This window comes from Homo sapiens, chromosome 1, assembly GCF_000001405.40.
Source record: "Homo sapiens chromosome 1, GRCh38.p14 Primary Assembly".
Classification (NCBI taxonomy): domain Eukaryota; kingdom Metazoa; phylum Chordata; class Mammalia; order Primates; family Hominidae; genus Homo; species Homo sapiens.
The window spans coordinates 67613402-67635934 of NC_000001.11; the positions used below are offsets into that span (position 1 = coordinate 67613402).

The 22533-nt window shown below is 43.2% G+C and overlaps 1 long non-coding RNA gene across 1 annotated transcript, besides 1 other annotated feature; it reads left to right on the forward strand.

Annotated features, from left to right (window-relative positions):
- Positions 4526-4740: a silencer, noted in NCBI's record as "fragment chr1:68083610-68083824 (GRCh37/hg19 assembly coordinates)". NCBI's record gives its function as "represses an EF-1alpha promoter that drives an FKBP-Casp9 reporter gene in an ReSE screen in phorbol 12-myristate 13-acetate-treated (for megakaryocytic differentiation) K562 erythroleukemia cells {active_cell/tissue: K562(+PMA)}" and the evidence as "EXISTENCE:reporter gene assay evidence [ECO:0000049][PMID:32094911]".
- On the forward strand, positions 5685-13470 carry LOC124904197 (uncharacterized). The gene is made up of 2 exons (XR_007066160.1): positions 5685-6264; positions 13238-13470. It is a non-coding gene; the product is annotated as an uncharacterized LOC124904197 (long non-coding RNA).
- Positions 13471-22533: the final 9063 nt, after the last annotated feature.

Sequence of the window (22533 nt, forward strand, 5' to 3'; positions counted from 1 at the left end):
GGAAAGATGACTTAAATACTCCTTCTCATCCACCGACACAACCCAATGGTCCTATAGACACAATTACATCTAACAAGTATTTTGGGTGTGTTTAAAGCATGGGCTAGTTATGAAGGAGAGGAAGGGATGGTGGGAGCTTTCTTATTTGCTTTTAAAATTCTGTATTTGACAGGAATACTCTGTGCTGGCATAACAACGGGACTCTAGCGAACAGTAGCTTTTATAGGATAAAAGTTTAGTTCTGGCCAGGCATGGTGGCTCATGCCTATAATCCCAGAACTTTGGGAGGCCAGGGCGGGCAGATCATTTGAGTTCAAGAGTTCGAGACCAGCCTGGTCAACATGGTGAAACCCTGTCTCTGCTAAAAATTGAAAAAAAATAGCTGGGCTTGGTGGCGTGCGCCTGTAGTCCCAGCTACTTGGGAGACTGAGGCAGGAGAATCGCTTGAACCCAGGAGGCAGAGGTTGCAGTGAGCCGAGATTACACCACTGCACTCCAACCTGGGAGACAGAGTGAGACTCCATCAAAAAAAAAAAAAAAAGAAAGAAAGAAAGAAAGTTTAGTTCTGCTTCATGGACTAGCCCAGAGGTTGTCTGGTAGTCATTAGTCTGATAGGGTGGTCCTGCCACTCTCATTGTATATTTCCCTGCTCAGGGTCTCACTCAAACCTCTGTATTCCAGTTAAAGGAAAGGGGGAAACAAAAGTGTTTGCCCAAGGTTCTCACATCCCATTAGCCCAATACTGGTAGCATAGCCACCTCCAGTTGCAAGGGATATCGGGAAATGTAGTCTCCAGTGGCATGCCTATGTGCCTAGCTAAAAATAAAAAAATTCTATCACTAAAGAACAGATATTAATGGACATGTCCTGGTCTCTGCCACCCTTTCTTTCACTTATTCACCTACTCAAGGAATTACTGAGTGCCAGTCATATTTTTGACACCGTTTTTACTCAGTTGCTTATAATCCAGCAATGTATATGAACACATGCTCAGCTAAAGTCACATTGTGCTGCATTCTCTAATAATTCAAATGCTATGGATCTTCAGGGAAGGAAGGGCTCATTTCTGTCTGGAGAGATTTGTCCATTTGTTTACAGATTTATTGAGCACTGTGGTCAGCAGCCTGAAGATGGCCCCCAGTCATCTCCACCTCCCAGAATTCACATCCTTGTGCAATCTCCTTTCCTTGAATGTGTGCTGGACCTAATGACTCACTTCTAGCAAATAGAATACAACAAAAGTGACAAAATGTCACTTTTGAGATTAGGTTACAAGAGGACTGGGACTTCCACCTCACTCTTTCTCAGACTTCACTCTGGGGAAATCCAGCTGCTGTGTTTTGAGAAATATTATGGAGAAACTTCTGCGGCAAGGAAATAATATCTTCAGTCAACAGTCAGCAAGGATCCTAACGTCTGCCAGCACCATGTGATTGAGCTGGAAAGTCGATTTTCTGAGGACTGCCAACAGCCACCCAAGTGAGCTGGGAAACAGATCCCCCTGCAGTTGACCCTTGAGGTGACTGTAGCCTGACAGACACCTTGATTACAGCTTTGTGAGAGATCTGCACCCTAATCACCCAACTAAGCTGCACCTGTACCTGAATTTCTGACTCAGAGAAACTGTGAGATAATAAATATTGTGATTTTCAAATGCTAAGTTTTGGGGTAATTTGTTATGCAGCAATAGATGACTGATACAAGTACCTACTGTTTTCAGGTAGTATGCGAGGCCATTAAAATGTGAAAAATGAATGATGCTTCATTTTGTCACTGTGTCTTGGGAGAGGGGAAGACAGCAATATATATACAAACATGGTGCTTATGATAGAAGGTGGTCAATCCAGTGATAGAGAGGTGCTGAGTGTGAAATAGGAGCACAAAGGAAGAGCCCCTTATCCAGAGGAGGAAGGGAGATGAGGAGAGACATCCTGGAGAAAACAAATATTTTCAGAGAAAATTGAGGGAGGGGTCATTCTATGGAGAGGGGACAGAGTGACTAATGCCTGGAGGGGAAACGGTACAGAATCTGCTTGGGGATGGAGCACTATCATTTTTGTGTAAAAGAGGTAAAGGAAGATAAGGCTGGAGAAGTAACTAGAAACTAACCTAGTCTCATGCCAGCAATTTATTTCTATTTATTTATTTACTTTGAGATGAGGTCTCACTTTGTCACTCAGGCTGGAGTCCAGTGGTGTGATCTCGGCTCACTGCAGCCTCCGCCTCCTGGCCTCAAGGGATCCTCCCACCTCAGACCCCAAGTAGCTGGGACTACAGGCGCCCACCACCATGCCTGGCTTATTTTTTTTTTTGTCTTTTTTGTACAGATGGGGTTTTGCCATGTTGCACAGGCTGGTCTTGAACTCCTGAGGTCAAGTGATCAGCCCACCTTAGCCCCCCAAAGTGCTAGGATTACAGGCATGGGCCAGCATGCCTGACCCACTAATTTATTTTTAAATATCAGTATTATGAAATCCTGCCTTGAGTGAAAGGAGGTAAAAACAAGAGTTAATGAAGGAACTGGCGTGTTCTCAATAGTCCAACACCTGAATTTTAAGAAACCAGTTTCAATTACCTATAAAACACTGACAAGTGTAATTTGTTTCATTGTTTTGCTCATAAAATTTGAGCCAGGAACAGTTGACATATTTCCATGGAATAATTGTGGTTCCTATTGAGAAACCAGCTTAGACAAGTTGTTTGATGGTTTTACAACTGGGAAATTGACCCTTTCAGCTTCAGGGTCTCATGAGTCAATATTTTGAAAATCTGAGGAGAAGTTTGGGAAGAATTGTATGTTTTGTTGTTGTTGTTGTTGTTGTTTGTTTGTTTGTTTGTTTGTTTGTTTTGAGACAGGGTTTCACTTTGTCACCCAGGCTGCAGTCAATGGCGTGATCTCCGCTCACTGCAGCCTTGACCTCCTGGGCTCAAGCAATCCTACCACCTCAGCCCCTCAAGTAGCTAGGACTACAGGTGAGTACCACCACACCCTGCTAATTTTTTTGTGTGTGTATTTTTTGTAGAGACAGGGTTTTGCCATGTTGCTTAGGCTGGTCTCAAACTCCCGGCCTCAAGTGATCCTCACTGCTCAGCCTGCCAAAGTGCTAGGATTCCAGGCGGGAGCCACTGAGCCTGACCTGGTTGATTGTTTTTTTCCTTCCTTTCTCCCTTTCTCTCTCTTTCTCTCCCTCTCTCCCTCCTTCTTTCCCTCCTTCCTTCCTTTCTTTCTCTCCCTCCTTCCCTTTCTTGCAATTTTTCAGAATATTGAAGGCTCCAATAATATTTCTAGACTCTAAACCTCAGCTTGGCAAGGCATGAAGAGGAAACAAAAGCATTCCTCTCTCCCCTGAGGGAAGGATTAGCTCTAAAGATTTTTAAACTAGCTCTCAGAAGGTTCTCTGGATCATTACTGCTTACAAGTGCATCTAATGACTCAGTAGATAATGAGGTTATTTGAATGAAGATGACTACAATACTATGCTTGTGGGTATGATTGGCCTAGAATAGGAGAAATTTTAAAAATTAACCTTTAAACTTAAAATATTTTACAATATCACTTCAAAATGATTTTCTGTATCTAAAATCCTTATTTATTTATTTATTTATTTACTTACTTACTTACTTACTTACTTATTTATTTTTTGGAACAGGATCTCATTCTGTCACCCAGGCTGGAGTACAGTGGTGCGATCTCAGCTTACTGCAACCTCTGCCTCGTGGGTTCAAGTGATTCTTCTGCCTCAGCCTCCTGAGTAGCTTGGATTACAGGCACGTGCCACCACACCCAGCTGATTTTTGTATTTTTAGTAGAGACAGGGTTTCACCATGTTGGCCAGGCTGGTCTTGAACTCCTGACCTCAAATGATCAGCCCGCCCCAGCCTCCCAAAGTGCTGGGATGGGATTACAGACGTGAGCCACCAGGCCCAGCCTAAAATCCACAATTATTAATATGAAATAAATTCTCAGGCGCCCCCTTGCCTGTGGTGCACACAATTCCTTGAAGCTGGGGTCTGTGCTGCTGCTCATGCTTGTGGGAGCAGGGGTTTTGAGCAGACTCCTAGAAACAAAATATCACCTGCTGTGTTGGGTTTTGCTGGAGGCTGCATACTCCCCTTCCAAATGGAATTGGGCATCCCTCTCATATGATGAAGTTATTTCTTCCTCTGTCCCCCATACATGAGTGTCTTGTGCTGCTATTATCCCCTGCAGGAATGATACTAAAATATTATCAACCAAAAAGGCAAATGCATTGGCCAATCAGAATGGACATAGTGCTTGCTGGAGAAGCATCCTGGGGTCTCTCTTCTACGCCAGTTATTATCCATTTAGTAGGGAGATCTGGGGGCTCCAGAGCAGGAACTAGGTGACAAGGTATTTCTTAGGGGCTCAGGGGCTCCTAGGGGGCTCAGATTTGTACAAGTTGAATAATTTTGTGGTTTTGTTTTTTGTTTTTTGTTTTGAGATAGGGTCTCACTTTGTTGCCCAGGCTGGAGTGCAGTGGTGTGAACATGGTTCACTGCAGCCTTGACCTCGTGGGCTCAAGCAATCCTCCTGCCTTGACCTCTTGAGTAGCTGGGACTATAGGTACGCACCACTCTGTGTAATTTTTGATTTTTTGATATTTTTTTGTAGAGACAGGGTTTTGCCAATACCTGGGTTCAAGCGATCCGCCCACCTCTGCCTCCCGAAGTGCTGGGATTACAGGCGATTAATGTTTTAATGTCTGTCTTCCCCACCAGACCGTAAGCAGCTTGAGGGTATGAGCTCTATTTTAGTAGTCTCTAGTGTCTCTACTACCTAACACAACGTCAACCCCTAATAGGCACTTAGAAAATATTTACTGTGCAAAATCGAAATATGCCTGTTTAAACATTTGGTATTTATTGGGGACTCTGCCTTAAGCTAGATACTGCCCTAGACGATTTAGGGGACGTAAACAGAATTAAGAGTCGGCATTTATCTTTGATGAGTTTTCAGTCTAGTTAGCAGACTCTAGTAGAAACTGTCTTGTTCATCTTGGTTGCCCGGCGCCTGACTCAGTGCTTGGCACAAAGCAAGCACTCAGTAAACATTTGTTGTAAATTCACGTGTCTGGGCTAGAAGGGTTGCTTCAGACTGGTCATTCTTTGTCTACCCCTCCAAATCTGCCAGCCCAGCAAACTCAGCTCCACAGAATTACTCCCAGTGATCCGACAAACTATTACAGTTAGCCAGGAACAAAAGCCACTAGGAAAATAATGCATCACTTTTCATCTGGATGTTTCCAAAGGAACTGAAGTATTAAAGTCACAGTTATCCCAATCAGATCATCTTTTCAAAGGAATTACAGGGTTGTGAGCCAACAGCAACCACATACACCTTTGCAGTAATCAGAACCAGCGTTCTCGATGCTGAAAGCAAAATCAAGTAAACAAGGTTGTGTTGTGGACTTCCTTGACCCAGACTTTCAGGAAGGAGCTGACACACTGCCCAGACTTGCGCTCACCCACATCGCTCAGAAGCCAAACAAACTCGAGAAGCTCGTGTTTTCCCAGCTGTATGATGCACTCACTTCACCAAGTGACTGGCCAGAAAACAAGAAAAAGAAAAAAGAAAAATCCCTCGTTCAGACCAGTCAGGGGAATAATTGCTTCAGCTGGCCTTTACTTTTTATTTTCATGAAGTATCAAGAAATCTAAAAATGGAGGAAGTTAGATCTATGACTTTTAGTCACTGAAAAGGAAAGAAAATATTATTTTTTCTTTTAGAGAGCTGATCGTGTTATTACTCTGCCTTAAAACTGCAGTGGCTTTCTATCTTATAATCTTCAAACCCCTTGGTATCCCTTCCAGGTCTTTCATAACTTGTTTAAAACAATCTTTCTAGCCACATCTGCCTCCTTTCCTCCCACTGAAAGCTGTTCTTGAGCTTTGCCAGGCTCCCATGGTCTTAAATACTGCATGTGCTTTCTTGCATACACGCTTTTTTGTTCATGCTATTCCTTTTGCTTGGAATACCCTTCCTTGCCTTGATCACTAGGAGAACTGCAACTCATCCTTCAAGACCAGTTCAAATGGCACTGTTACTCAACCCAACAGCAGATTTAGCTTCTCCTTCATCTGTCTCCCCTTAGGACTACTTTGTGTGTATCTCTTACTGCACTTGTTCTTTATATCATTCATCCACTCATTCAATAACACTCATTGTCTTTGCACTTTGTACCAGATACTATGTGAGGTGCTGAGGATCCAGGTGTAAAAGTTCCTATCTAGTGGGGCATGCAGGTAAGCAAATTGATTGTTATGAGACAGAATTGTGTTTTTGGTAAAGATAAGCACAGGTTGCTTTGGAAAATCAGAGGAGGGTCACATACCCCAGTCTGATTGGAGGGAGAGAATCCAAAGGGCTTCTTGGAGGAGATGACACCTGAACAGTCTAGAGAACAAGGGGTTTTTGTGTCCATCGTCTCATTCTTGGCAGAGCACTCCTGGAGAAAAGAGTTAATCATAGCTCATATCAAATCAAGTCATTTATTCTATACATGTTCATTGAGCTCTTTGCTAGGAGACAAACACTCCCAGGAGCAGCTTGGGAACTAGGCAGAAGCAGTCAGGAGTGAGAGAAGCGGATAAGAAAAATATGAGAGGAAATCAACGACGAGTCTCAGGTTTCTAGTTTAGGCGAATGGGTGATAGTGGATTAAGGCTGCCATGTGCAGTTGTGCAGGTTGTGGACTCACAGATGCAGAAGGAGGGGCAAGTTTAATGAAGAAGAGCCTTACACTTGATCCCACAGTACCACCACTTAATATATGATGTTGGAATGGACCACAATTGAGATAATTGTTTTGTTTTATTAAAAACAAGCCTTGGCCAGGCGCAGTGGCTCACGCCTGTAATCCCAGAACTTTGGGAGGCCGAGGCAGGTGGATCATTTGAGGTCAGGAGTTTGAGACCAGCTTGGGCAACATGGTGAGACTCCGTCACTACTAAAATACAAAAATTAGCCAGACGTGGTGGTGCTCACCTGTAATCCCAGCTACTTGGGAGGCTGAGGTTGGAGAATTGCTTGAACCTGGGAGGCAGAGGTTGCAGTGAGCTGGGATCATGCCATTGCAATCCAGCCTGGGCGTCAGAGCAAGACTCTGTCTCAAAAAAAAAAAAAAAAAAGAAAGAAAAAAGAAAAAAAGCAAGCAATCTGTTCTTTCTTGAGTGAACTAAAAAATCCACTTTCCTGCTATATTCACTTGGCTCCTTAATTTTCACACTTGAAAAATCTCTACTGTGAATCATTCATGTCTTCTCCACATCCCTCTGCCTTTAGACCATTTTGACACCTCTACCAGAGATTTTAGGATTTCCTGCTTAAATGAAGCTTGAAAACTAGGTATAAAACTGAATACTCAGTTATTAATATTGTTAATAATGGGGTTATTGATATAATAGTATTAAAAACATCCATTATTATTAAGTTCATAACCAAGAATTGTCTTTAGTTTTTAGAATTATTTCAAGCTACAATTTGATCATCTTATAATAGGGGTAAGACCTTTTTTTTTTTTTTGAGATGGGGTCTTGCTCTGTCTCCAAGGCTGGAGTGCAGTGGCATGATCTCTGCTCACTGCAATGTCTGCCTCCCAGACTGCCTCAAGCAATTCTCCTGCCTCAGCCTCCAGCGTAGCTGAGATTACAGGCATGTACCAGCACACCCAGCTAATTTTTATATTTTTAGTAGAGACGGGGTTTCACCGTGTTGGCCAGGCTGGTCTCAAAATCCTGACCTCAAGTGATCTGCCTGCCTGGGCCTCCCCAAGTGCTGAGATTACAGGCATAAGCAACTGGGTCCAGCCCAGTAATGCCATTTTAACCTCAAATTTTATTTTCCTTTTATTCTATTTCTTCTTTTATATAGTGGAAGAAATCTCAGCAGGAATTTTGATCACCAAAGATCCTTTACTAAAGCTAATCCCTTCAAAAGAACTGAAATACATCCTAATGTACCCTAAATAATTTCCTCCTCAAAGTTTGGCTCTTTCTAAAACATCCCTTGGGTTGCCATTTGACTTCCTGTTACATTTAGACAGAAACATAAATCTTGTAATAAATATATTGCTTTAAGATGTATCCAGGCCTCTCAAAATCAGCTCTTTATTATTCTTGATTGCTATTCTTTGCCTTTTCCATCTCTTTCTAGAACTGCAGGGCCCCAACATATGTATCTTAAAAATAGAAAATACGGTCTACAAAAGACAGCTGGGGTGGGAAGTGTAGCGATCATCCCTTTGCCATTGCCTATTTTTTCTCTTCAGCCTCACTGGCAACATATTTAATTTGCTTTTTGTTATGAGCCTTATCCTCTTTTTTTTCTGTATTTTGTTCTTCAAATGTACTTCTCTTTGAAGCTATTTATTATGGACTGTATTTTCTTTTTTTAAAAAATTTTCAACTTTTATTTTAGATCAGGGGTACATGTGCAGGTTTGTTACATGGATATATTACATGATTCTGAGATTTGGGGTGTGATTGATCCCATCACCCAGGTAGTGAGCATAGTACCCAATAGGTAGTTTTTCAACCCTTGACCTTCTCTCTCTCTTCCCCCATAGTAGTTCCCAGTGTCTATTGTTGCCGTCTTTCTGTCCACGAATACCCAGTGTTTAGCTCCCACTTATAAGTGAGAACATGGAGTATTTGGTTTTCTATCCCTGCATTCATTTGCTTAGGATAATGGCCTCTAGCAGCATCTATGTTGCTGCAAAGAATATGATTTCATTGTTTTTTATAGCTGCGTGTATTATCTTCTTATTCACACAGTTAGGTGAAATCTGATTAATAGATTAATAACTTTGAATTCTAAACATCTACTTGTGATTAAGTGAGAGAGGTTTGTCTTTGCATGGTCTGTGTGTAAAGGTTTTCCAGGTACATGTGTAATAAGCAAGGCAGTGTTATAACTAGTCTTTTAAAGAAGAACAAATGATTATTGGTAGAAGCACTATTTCCACAATATCATTCTTGATTACTTGACATTTTTATCTGTTCATGAAAAGAGATCCTGTAAAGCACTTATCTCCAAATCTTTGCCCGTATACCCTTCCATAAAATTTGAAAATGGTATACTTTCATCCATCTTTTAACTTAAATATCTAAAAATTTTATGATACATTGAGATGGTTGCAAAGGAGGTAATTTCTGAACATATTATAAATAGTACCATTTAAAAATAAAGCTCTTATATTACTCTCTTGGCCAGGCGCGGTGGCTCATGCCTGTAATCCTAGCACTTTGGGAGACCAAAGAGGGTGGATCATTTGAGGTCAGGAGTTCAAGACCAGCTTGGCAAATATGGCAAAACCACTAAGAATACAAAAATTAATCAGGCACAGTGGTCTGTGCCTGTAATCCCAGCTACTTGGGAGGCTGAAGCAGGAGAATTGCTTGAACCCAGGAGGCGAAGGTTGCAGTGAACTGAGATCGCACCACTGCACTCCAGCCTGGGTGACAAAGTGAGACTCTGTCTCAAAAAAATTAAAAAAATAAATAAAAATAAAGCTCTTAAACGTTTCTCAAAGAATTCTAAATACCACAGCAATTTGACACCAACTATAGTGATTTGAGATCCATCATCTAGTTAAAATTATATAAACAAGCTCTTTAATATACATTTTCATCATTTTTCTCCATTTCACTTCTACACAGAAGTTCATTCTAAAATAATAATGCTTGAAAACCTTTTATTTATCATTCTACTATACTTTTCTACCTCTACAACAAAACAAAAAAATACATATGTAAATTAAATGCTGCAAGTGTTTTAAATTTTTTCTGAATTTAGTTATGATTAGCACAGAATTAACCAAAACAACAGAGGAATATTATAAATTTTATGCATAATTATTAAACTTAAAAAGTAAGTTTTTATTAGAATCACATTTATTGGTAAGCTGAGTGGCACTTTTTCTCAACTGCTTCTTGCATCCCATGAGTGAATTATTTATTGCTAGAATGAGACAGGGTGTAGTATCCATTCTATTTCTATTTGTTATTTTTACAGATAGAAACATTGAGAAGCTGTGTTCACATAAGTAAGTAGGTAGGAATGGAATTCATAGCATTGACACTCAAGTTTAAACTATTTCATAGATATAAGACGAAGATAACATAGCCATTTACCATAAAGATATTTTAAACGATCTATCAGCTGACAATTCAGTTACGTCCTTCCATTCTGTTGAAAGCAAAGAATTGAACACCACATGACTTGCACATAGATTTATTTCCCAGTCATTAGAAATTAGGAGTGCTAATGCTAGATGATGAGTTAATGGGTGCAGCGCACCAGCATGGCACATATATACATATGAAACTAACCTGCACATTGTGCACATGTACCCTAAAACTTAAAGTATAATAATAATAATAAACTAAACAAACAAAAAAAAGAAATTAGGAGTGCAGTGGCACCAACACAGCTCACTGCAACCTCTGCCTTCCAGGCCCAAGCCATCCTCACACCTCAGCCTCTCAAGTAGCTGGGACTACAGGTGCGCACCACCATGCCCAGTTAATTTTTATATTTTTTTGTGGAGATGGGGTTTCGCCATGTTCCCAGGCTGGTCTTGAACTCCTAGACTCAAGGGATCTGCCTACCTCAGCCTCCCAAAGTGCTGGGATTACAGACATGAGCCACCGTAGCCAGCCTGGGGTTGTTCCTTTGTAGCACAGAGATTTCTCCACCTTGGAGCAGTGCCCCAGGGTAAGTCTGGCCAGCAGTGAGATGTGATTTTCTTCTGTGAGGTGGGAGAATGGACCTAATGAGGGAACAGGAGGGAGAGGAGGACCATAAGGAGGAGTCATCACACATATTTACTTTTGGAAAGTATACTTATCATAGTTGAGGATCTGTAATTGATTCTTTAAAATCCTTTGGAAAGCCCTCAAATAGTATACCAATTCGAAAACTGCTGTTATAAAGATTTCTGCCAAGTATCATCATTTGTTAACTTGACAATAGAGCTTTTTTTTTTTCTCAGAAGACCTATTAATATCTGTAAGAGCCAACATTCTTGGAATACTCCCTGGGAAATGCTACTTTAAAGGTTTGATTAATAAATCTTAATTGGCTCCCCAATTAGATAATAAAATCTACACCTGTGAGCCAGAGGTTGTTGAAGTTGTAGGAGAACATATATAATGATGATGATGACCATATTGATAGCTATTATTGATTATGTTAGTTTCAAATAGCAGAGACCTAACAAACACAGGTGAATACCAGCAATGAGGTACTTGTCTCACACAACAATAAACTCCTGGCCAGGTGGCCCTGGAGTAAAACAGAAGCTCAACAATGTCATCAAGCACCCTAGCTCTTTCTCTCCTGCCACTTCATCAGCCTTAGCCTGTGAACCTTGTGCTTGTTGCCTCATGACATCAAGATGGCTGTTCTACCTCCAGCCTCGCAGTTAAGTTCCAGGCAAGAAGAGAGAGGGGGGCAGACAGAGAGAGGAGCAAGGACTTGCTGCTCAGAAGCTTTGCCTTTTTATTTGGAAAAGTCAAGGACAGGTATTTATGTCTCATTGGTCATAGCTGGGTTTTGTGGCCAACCCCAGCTGCAGGGAAGCTGGGAGTTTGGGTATTTCCTCTTTGACCCTTGCTAGTAGAGAAAAGCAAAGAAGACGGTGTTTGAGAATAGATGTTGAATGAACCAGTTTACAGGATCTGTCACATCCTTCTATTCTGAGCTAGACATTTTACACATATTATGTTTATTATAACAATCCTATGTGATAGGCTTATTATCCCCATTTTTCAGACAAGGAAATGAAAATTCACTGAGGTAAAGTAACCTCACAAGGTACCATAACTGATTTGTGTGAAAAAACTGGGATTGGAACAGTTCTTCTGATACTAAAGTCTGTGCTTTCCATCTCTGACCACCGCATGGGCCATTTTGCTCTACATCCTGATACATTCCATGTCCTTCATAGTGCCAGACCTAGAAAGTTCTGTTGGAGTGCAGAGACTCCCAAAGCCTGTGCCAAGTGCAGAGGAGTGGGGTGGGAATGAGAGAATAGGAAAGGCTTCCTTTGCCCCTCTTCCCCTCTCCCACGTACCTTAATCTTGACAAAAGCGGGTCACGGGAGGGAAGGGCAGGGAAGGAAGCAGCAGCTCTCCACTGGGAACAGGCCACCGGGGCTCCTTTTCTGACTCTGACTCTGGATTTTTAAGTCACCTGGACTCTGCAGGCCTCAGTCTGTCCACCTTGCTCTTCAGAGTGCATTTCCGTGATTTAAGACAGTGGAGAGACTGCAGAATTGTGGTCTAGTGAGAAGTGAGTGTGATCACTCCTGAGGCAGCGTCCCCATGCTCTGGAAGCTGTACCTGAGAATCCACCTGGCACAAGACACCTTTCCTGCCCCTCCCCTCCCCTCAAGCCCACCATGGGCTCAGAGATAATTTCATTTCAGGGGCTCTGGGCTGTTGTGACCTAACAAGTCATGACTGATGAAGCAAGGGAGCTCCAGAAACTCCACGTGAGGGCACAGACCTCCAAAACTTTCCGGAATTCAACTGCTTCTCACCAGTGTTAGTCTGGTCCAAGCCAGCATTGTCTTCCACTTAGATGACTGTAATGGCCTTCTATTGGTTCTCCCTGCAGCCACTTTGCCCTACAGCCTATTTGCCACAGAGCATCCAGGGTGATCACATGAATGCCTCAGACAGGCCGTGATGTCCTCTGCCTCAATCCAACAGCAGCATCCCTTTTCTTTCAAAGTAAAAGCCAAAGTTTTGACAAAGGGCTTCTAAGGCCATACACAATCTGCATGCTGTTCCTCACCTTCCCTGCCCCTCCCCCCGTACCTTTCCAACCTCACTTTCTACCTCTTTCACTCTCTAAGACATCTTCCTGCCTCAGGGCCTTTGCACAGATTATTCTTTCTGTTGAGATCATTCTTCTCTCAGAGATTCAACTGGCTCTCTCATCTCCTTGAAGGCTTTTCTCAAAATGCCACCTTCTCATTGAGGCCACAGCAACTATCCTGATTTAAAAATTCCACCCTCCACTTCTTCCCCCAACACAGCCAATCCTCCTTACCCTCCTCTGCTTTTTCCATGGCACTCATCCCTTTCTAATATGGTATGTAACTGATTTATTTATTTAGCCTATAGACTGCTTCCTGCCATGTGGCAGAAACAATAACACTCACCAAATATTCCATGTGCTTCCTCACATTTGCTAGTTTTTTTGTTGTAGGCGAGGCCATGTGATTAGTCCTGAGAGAAAGCATTGTGAGTCATTTCCAAGCTGCAGTACCTACAAGCCCATGGGAAGTTCTTCGGTTTCTCTTTCCTCTGCCATCACAACTAAGGAACCTCAGATGAAACCTCTTGGGCCCCTGAGTCACTGCATGGAAGACAATTGCCTTGTAGAATCACAATGGATTTTGTGTAAAAGAGAAATAAATAAAGCATTGTTTTGTTAAGCCACTGATACTCTGCACTTATTAATACAGCATAACTTAGACTTCCCTGACAAATATACCCCATTAGAATATAGGGTCCATGAGACCAGGATTGTTGTCTGTTTTGTTCTCTGATATATTTTGAGCACATGGATCAGTGCCTGGCACATAATAATCCCTCAGTAGATTTGTTGAATAAATGAATAGACTTCTGGACACAGGCCAGCATCCCTGACCCAGTCCAGTTTCTAGCTTCCTCTGGTTTGTAACAAATTCCCAGGACCTATGCTTGAAAGCTCCTTATAAGTAGGGAATAAATCGCAGTCATCTTGTATTGTCCCCAGTTTCATAAGGCCTTGTACATTGTTACTATTCAGTAAATATGGACTGTCTGACTGAATGACTGATAGAAATAACTGAGTACTAGCCCAACTCTCTCCTGCGGTCCTCAGGTTGAAAGCTCTCAGCAGGAGAAGGAGGATGGCCAGTTCTAGTTCACGTACTACTACAGTTTCAGCACAGAATATTGCTTCACCAAGAAAACTAAGGCTGTTTTGCCTGATCCCCTTCAGTGCCTCACTCTCTGACCTAAAATCTGCCCTCTCTCTGTCCCTGTGCTCATGCCTTCACTGCCCTCATCCTGTTCAAGGGCAGTCCTTGTGACTAAGCAGGGTGCACTATTCTTTTCAGATTTCTACCTCCCATTCATACCTCAGGCCAATATTTTCTGACCTCTAACACCACAGTTGTACTGAGCTTCCTCTCGGTGATGGCACCCAAGACCTCCTGATTGCCAAACGCAGTGGGATTTTTTTTATGGTGTGATGCACTGGAGACCTTCAGCTAATCTCCTTGTCACCTGCTACTACTTTGGCTCCCATGGCACCATCCTTTCCAGGTTCTGCTTACATCTCCTTGGCCATTCCTGTGCCTCCGTGGGCTTTTTTTCCTCTGCTCAGTCCTTCAGGGTCCTCCAGGATTCCTCCTCAGCTCACTGCTCTGGGCACTTGACACACTTTCCTCATGGTTTCAACAACCTCCTGGATACTGATGATTGCCAAATCTTTGTCTCCAGCCCCAGTCTCTCTCCAGAACTTTAGATGATTTACATATGTGCCACCTGGACAGACCCACCTGGAGGTCCCATGACTTGGGTGTCTCTTATGCACCCTCTCATATCCTCTTGGCCTCATTTCTGAGTCCATTAGTGGCTCTGGCAAGCGGTTCTACCCTGGCTATGACTCAATTTACACAGACAGTAACTTTTTTCAACAATTGGCTTAGACCACGCTTCGTGCCTTGGGGCTTCTCTGATGCCCCTGGATGCCTAGTCATTCTGGTTGCCTGTGGAAATGCCTAACACTTGGGCGTGTGCAACCCAGATTGGGGGTGGGGGTTGGGATAACACTTCATGTGGAATCAGGATTACTGAAGTACAAGAATCAGTGGATAACCGCTTCTCCCTCTTATCTCTCTCAGGTGGACAGTCCTGAAATGCAGCGTAAATGCTTCTTGGAGGCCCCAGGGGTCCAGCATCACTGTCCTGTGGCAGTGACCAATATGATACACATCCATTACTGGCTTTCCATTTTTCCATTTTCCTTTATCCCACCCTCCCTGATCCCTCTCTCCTGTTCTTGGGATCACTTCCCAGATAAATGACCCATGCAAAAACCTTTGTCCCAGGCCTTCCTTTGAGGGAATCAAGGATAAAATATCCTTTAGGCCCCTCTATCTCAATATGTCTAAAGCAGGACTCTTCATCTTGCCCTCAATCCAACTCTTCTTCTTCTACTCTTACCCCAATCAGTCATCAAAGCTAAAAACTGGAGACTCACCTTTTCCCTCTTTTTCATCTTGATTTCAAGTCAATCCTGAATCTGCCCCTCTACTCCTTTCCTCAGACCACCTCACCTAAGCTGCGGCCTCCTCTCAGTTCTCTCTGCCTCTCCTCCAATCCTCTCAAATCCATCCTACACCCAACCGCCAGCGTGAAATATCTCAAGCGCAAATTTTTGCCACGGTGTCCTTTACTTAAGCCCCATCAAAGGTTCTGCTGGTAGGATAAAACCCAAGCACCTTGTTATGACATGGGGCCTCCTGGAACCTGCCCTTTGCCCACCTCTTCAGCATCATGGCTGAACTGCTTATGCTTTCCAGCACCGTTCCCATTGTGCACTCAACAGAGAGGAAGAAAATGCTCATTTTGAAGAGAACTTTTATGTTGTCTGCTGTGGAGCATCCCAACAGCATAGCTTCTATGAAGACAGTGTTGGAAGAGCTATTCTCTAGACTTTTGCATCTACAGGGTCTTTCTGGACTCATAGCTTCACAATACACAGATCACAGGACAGTCAGGATGAGGGCTGGAAAAACTACTGGAGGTAGAGTCAGCACACCTGTGTTCCAGGCCTGCTGTGACACTTGCTAGCTGTGGGACCCTGGGTAAATTTCCTGGTTTCTGTATTCACAAAGTGGGAAAATGCCATCTAATTGCCACAGGGTGTGTGATGAGCACATAAAAGTAATAATGATATTGATGATGATCATGATGGCTAACATTTATTGAGCACTTACCAGCAAGGCAATGGCAATAAAGAAGGTACCCGGTAAGCAGTTCATGGCTCTGCTGCTAACTTAGTAATGTTTTCTCAGTAAGTCATTTCCTGTGTCTTGACTTCAGTCTCACCCTGCAAGCAGTGGAGTTGAACTAGTTCAGGGCTTTTGACTGGGAGGTCACTAATATCCTTGATAAGATAAAGTTCTCAGTTTATGAGCTAGCACACTGAGCTATTGCCTGTCCTAAAGTGGGCTGAGCATCCATCAGTTTTTAGCTCTGACATGCTCATTGGGATGCACACAGTGTGTTGAAGGTAACCTCACCAGCCTCCTTCCCCTGTGTATTGGGGAGAAAAGAAATGACTGTGTCCTGAGCAAGAAAGTTAGAGATGCTGAATCTCTTGCACTTTTTTTTTTTTTTTGCCCAGCACACAGTAACAATGAGGGTAATTCTGCCAAAAAACAACTTTTCTTGGCATGCATTGTGCTGTTCACATCCATGGAATTTATTGTCATATCACTGCCAAGTTGGACAAATTATTATCAGAGCCAAGTCAAATCCAAGGACAGCTTAAGGCCTGCCATCTCTTTGCATGATGTCCAAGCTTCTCTTGTGGCCTCCTCACCCCCTGTGGCTTCTGCACACCTTCCTGAGGGCCTGGTAACAAGGAAGACGGATGCTGGTACTCTGATCCTTCACCACTCAGCTCTAAAATGATGCCTTTGCTATAACTGGAGGGTTTTGTTTCATTTGTTCATTTGTTTCCTCCCATCCTTCAATACGTTATTATTTCCCTGTTTGAAGTGAAAATGTGATGGAGTAAATATATTGACTCTTTTCTCTGTTCTGTTACTACCAAAGTCACACTCCCCATTTTTGACTCATTTCTTTTCATATTTGATTATTTTCTGACTAGTTTCTGATCATATTTACATGATTTTCAATAATCTGCTGCTTCCTACATAATTGAGTGGACAGAATAAAAATCCCAAAGTGGGTGTGAATTGGAAGACAGTTATCCAGCCATGGTGAGGGGAGTGAAAATGCATCCATGCCAAAGAAGACACAAACTGGGCAGAGTGATTGTCCCCTTATTTCTCCGAAAGCCAGGGGTTTGTAGAAGAGCATTCCTGGGTGTGTTTCCTGATGGGGAGAGCTAAGGGCAGAGAATCTAGGATAACACTTGGCCTTCATCCATTCCATGACACGTCACACCTTTGGCATCTATTTGGCTGTTGGTAGGAAGGGGGAAAGGTGAGATGAAGAAAGAGGAGATTTGCCACCTCTGACTTCCCCTCATGACTCCCAGGTCATATTAGCACTAACACTAGTTATATTTTAAAGTGTCTTATTTGTTTATGTCACAAATAATGATTGAGAGCACACTATGTATATGCCAGGCTCTGTACTAGACACTGGAGACACAATGCAAAGCAGCCATACTCCCTGCTCTTTGAGGTATTCACAATGTGGTACATGCAATAAGACAATCAGATGTGGAAAGTGTCCAGTGAGTTCTGTAGAATATGGCCCACTTAGATCTCTTATTTACAGTATTGTGGCTGGTATAATTTAATTATTTGAGTAATTATTTGTTAGTGTTGGTCTTCCATTTTTGACTAAAAATCCCATAAGGACAAGGATTCCATTACCACTGTAAGTCCTAGCATAATGCCTAGCCTATGAGGAAGAGCTCAATAAACATTTATGAAGAAGGAAAGGAGAGGAGAGGAGGGAAGAATGGAGGGAGGGAAGGAGAAGGTGGGATGAGATAGAAAGAAAAGAAAGAGAAATCAGTTGTAGTGGTTCACTCCTGTAATCCCAGTGACTTCGGAGGCTGAGGCAGGAAGATTGCTTGAGCCTCATTGCTTGAGGAGTTTGAGGTTGCAATGAGCCGTGATTGCATCACTGCACTCCAGTTTGAGTGACAGAGTGAGACCCTGTGGAGAAAGAAAGAAAGGCAGGAAGAAAGTAAGAAATAAGGGAAAGAAAGAATGAGAAAGAGGAAGAAAGAGAGAAAGAGAGAGAGAAAAGAAGAAAGAAAGAAAAGAAAGAAAGAGAAAGAAAGAAAGAAAGAAAGAAAGAAAAGAAAGAAAGAAAGAAAGAAAGAAAGAAAGAAAGAAAGAAAGAAAGAAAGAAAGAAAGAAAAGAAAGAAAGAAAGAAAGGAGGGGAGAGAAAGAAAGAAAATGAGAGATAGGAAAGGAGAGGGAAGAAGATGGAAGGGAAGGAGAGGAAAGGAGAAAGGTAGATTAGTGTCCTGGAAGAAGGGTGAAAGGACACTGTGAATAAACTCTGGGCGTGTAGAGGGAAGCTGGGTACTGAGAAGGCAAGGAAATGGATCTAAGTGAGAGGAGGTCAAGGCGGCAGGCACTAGGTGTATAGGAAGTGGATGTTTCATCTGGGAAAATTCCATGGCAGAATAAAGGCAGGTGGCTGTGCAGAGCCTGGGAACTTGTCATAAAGTGCACTCTCTGTCTGGCTGGGAGGGGTCCTGACTGCGGAGAGCCACACCTCTGGCTGCACCTGGGAATCCCTGACCTAGGGCTGATGCTGTGCCAGGTGGGGCAGAGAACTCTGGACTCTGGACTCAAACAGACCTGATTTGCCTCTAGCCTGTGCTGTTAATAACCTAAAGTTTCTCTGAAGAGCTGTTGAGGTGATGAGCTGTGCTGGAAGAACCTGGCCAATGCCTTCTGGTGGAGGCAGGCCTGGGCTCTCTTCATAAAGAAGCATTTTGTTTTAGCTAATTGATCCCTATGGACCATTGTTCTAGTTTACTATTTCTCGTCCTTAGCTATATTCACACTATAATTACACCTTTCTCACCGTTTCTTAGAAGCCTTCTATTTCAAATAGAACTGTGGTCTTACCTATAAAAACCACATTTCCCAAATACAGATTGTGATCGATAGTCACAAGGGCACTTACAGGGAAAACTCTGGAAAAATGAACAGCACTGCCAAAGGGTGTAATATGTGCACAGCCTCATGCTGAGTGCTTGCATTGCAATATTCCATCCAGTCTTTGTAGCAGCCCTGAGGGGCAGGTGCTATTGTTATCCCCAGTTGACAGGGAAGGAAATGAGGCCCAAGCAGGCTCCAGTCACCTCTCCGCAGTCTCTCAACCACATGTGGTGGAAACAGGACCCACAAGCAGGGCTGACTCTCTTGGTCAGGCCTAGACACTCCAGCCCCAAGCCAGGCCAAGGCGATGCAGGCCCCAGTGGCAATGAGCTGCGGTTTTAGAAGAAAAGTCGACAAACGATTTCTACCCTAATCGTTACATCTATTTTTAAAGCTTCTTTCTTTTATTTTGATAAGTGGTTGTCATTTTTCATAGACTATAAGTATGTAAAGTTTTATTTAATTAATTTCGAAAGTGAACTTTTAAAAAAGAAGTGTTCTGTAATGGTTTAGCGGACATATGGATACAGGGATAGTGAAGATGAATACAGGTGATGATCTGGGGAAACTCAGGCCGCCCTCAGGGCTGATTTTGATCTTTGCTATTGGACTCTGTGACACTGTCAGTCTGCCAACCCTCATGGGACATGCCACTGGGGTTTGTTGCATCTTACTGGGCTTTGCCTAATCGGTCTTGCCTGTGTGGGTCTGTCTGGTCTCTCGGGTCATGGCTGTGCCCCATCTTGACAGAATAAATATCAGGAACTAGGTAAAAGGTGATTTGGCAAATATCAGGAAATGAAATATCTTCAGCTGCAATTGGCACAGGACACACAAGGGCTTGCTGGGAAGCGACATGAAAGATGAGGGTCCCCTCTGTCCTCTGCACAAGACCTGGGGCAAGGGCAAGTCAGGAGAGGCATGTACACACAGAGAGAGGATCTCTGGAGGGAAAGGGCTGTTGTATTTACCAGGAGGCTGCAGCCTCAGAGATTTCCTGCTGTCACAGTGAAAGCAACCTGCTTCAGGCCTGTATAACTATCGTTCTGACCTTTACGCTTTCTGTAGGCATGAAGCCTCATACTTTCTAGGTACTCATTAAAATTGTTCTGAATTCACTCCCCTTGCCACTGCACTTGGGAGAGAACATTCTACGTAGAGGACCACAATTAGAGTTGATTAGGCACCCAGCTCTGTTCCTCCACTACCGAAAACTAGATATGCAGCAATCTACTTCCTAATGATTACTGGGAGTTTCTTTTGCATAACGCAGTTCTCCCAGGACCACTCCCTGAGTGAATGGATAATCAGGTCCCAGACCTGCAAGGCTTTAACCAGTTCTTGGACAAAACTATATAAACCTATCATCTCCTAAAGTATCCCTGCTGCTTCTCACTCCCTACCCACCCCATAGCTGACTAGGTGGAAAAACTATTTTTGTGCAGTCCACTCAAAAGCAATAGTCCTCTTATGTTAAAGATTGTTAAGCTGTAAGATTTAACAACATGTCAATAATGCCAAATAACTTGGCTTATTGATATGAAAGTCGTATGTCCCTTGTGTTTGTGTTCAAGGTAAGGAGAAGTTAATAGACTGAGCAAATATTTTTGAGCAGATAATTTCTGCTGCTTTAATAAACAGTATGTTTAAGAATGAGGGCTTTAGAATGACACTAAGTGAGCCAGGCATGGTGGCTCATGCCTGTAATTCCAACACTTTGGGAGGCCAAGGTGGTAGCACTGCTTGAGCCCAGGAGTTCAAGACCAGCCTGGGCAACATAGTGAGAACTCATCTCTAAAAGAAAATATTAGCCTGTGTGGTGGCACACGCCTGTGGTCTCAGCTGCTTGGGAGGCTGAGGAGGGAGGATATCTGGAGTCCAGGAGTTTGAGGCTACAGTGAGCTATGATTGCATCACTGCACTCCAGCCTGAGCAACAGAGCAAGAGCCTGTCTCAAAAAAAGAATCACACTAATTTTAGTTCAAGTTTCTGCTCTGCCAATTAGCTGTGGCAATTTGGGCAAGTTACTTTCCCTCTCTGAATCTGTTTCTTTATCTGGACATGGGAACACTGTCCCTGGGGTCCCATGGAGCAGAGACTCTTTTAGGCTCACTCTGGTAATGAGGTTTTGATGAGGCCTCATGAGGGTTAGGCATCCCATGAAAGCTGAGAGTAGGAACCATTCTGCGGAGCAGGGCATGGGGGCCTTTCAGAGACTGGAACTGGGCCCCAGGGCAGGAATGTGTGGATCTTTACTCTAGTGCTCACCACCCATGTGACTATTAATACCACTCTCCAAGTGTTGGCCTCCCCTTGATCTGCTTCTCTTTCCTTCATGAAGTAGTTTCTCTCCCTCACCCCAGGTATCCTTTCTCTCCCTCATGGCTTTGGCTTACTCACATCCATGACTTAACTCATGACCTCAACGCACTCAGGCTCGCCATGGACTCTCTGGCTTCTCATCTTTCAACTTCAGTTTCTACGGTGAAATAGAGGAAAACAGGTTTCCTCTATTTTCTCAACTTGAACTTTCTAAAAGCAAGAATTAATGTGGATAAAGCGTTTTGTTTTTTGATACCCTATGAACTGCTGGCTTGCCAATGGTTGCTGTTGGGCCCCGGGTGCATCCCTGATGCAGTCAGAGGTGTGTGTGTGTGTGTGCACACTAGTGTGTGTGTGTGTGTGTGTGTGTGTATTTGAGGATAATCATATTGGGCAAATCAAAGCCACTGAGGGCAACCTGTTTGTTGAGTGCAGGTGACTGACATGTGCAGTAGCCAAAAAAAAAAAGTCTCCTAAGGTTGTAGTGAAGATTCAATGAGATAAAACTTGTAGAGGACTTAGCACAGAGCTAGGACACATAGGAAGTGCTAAAAAAAAAAAAGATAGCTGTTACTCATCTTCTTATTATGTAATTGTTGTTATCATTATTCTAATCTACAACAAGTGCAGACTTGGTTCCAGAGGCACAGGGTAATTTGCAGGCTGTTAATAGAAGATGCACTGGGTAATGATTTTCTTCACACAACTAGGTCAACTTCACTAAAGACAGGGAGAGAGACGGGAAATAGAACCTCTCTATGTACACCATCAACGAATTAAAAAAAGTCCTCAGAGCAAACAAACATTAAGAGTTCCTCACAAAGTTTCCCTTTAAAACCACAAATACGATCCTGTGAGCCTACCTAACTCTTTTAAGGACTTCTCCTTTTTCTTAAAGAAAGACACAAATTCTTTATAAGGCCTTACGTATTCTGCACCCTCTCTCCCGCCGTGCGCGCCACAGACACACACACAGACACACACAGACACACAGACACAGACACACACACACACACACACACACACACTTCCCAGCTTCCTTCTGCACCACAAACACCCTGCTTGGGGAGCTGCAGCTACGTTGACCGGCTGGCACTTCTGGGACAGCACACCTTGTTCGTGTTGTACACAGGGCTCCACGCCACGCTGTTTGGCCTAGGACACTCTTCTCCGCACTTCCCCAGCCCTTTCCTTAGTTAACGTCCACTCACCCTTTGTCTCTGTTCAAACAGCAGAGAACCTTTCCCTAGCCCATGGTCTTTTATGATACACACTCAGAGAATCAAATGCATTTTCTTCAGC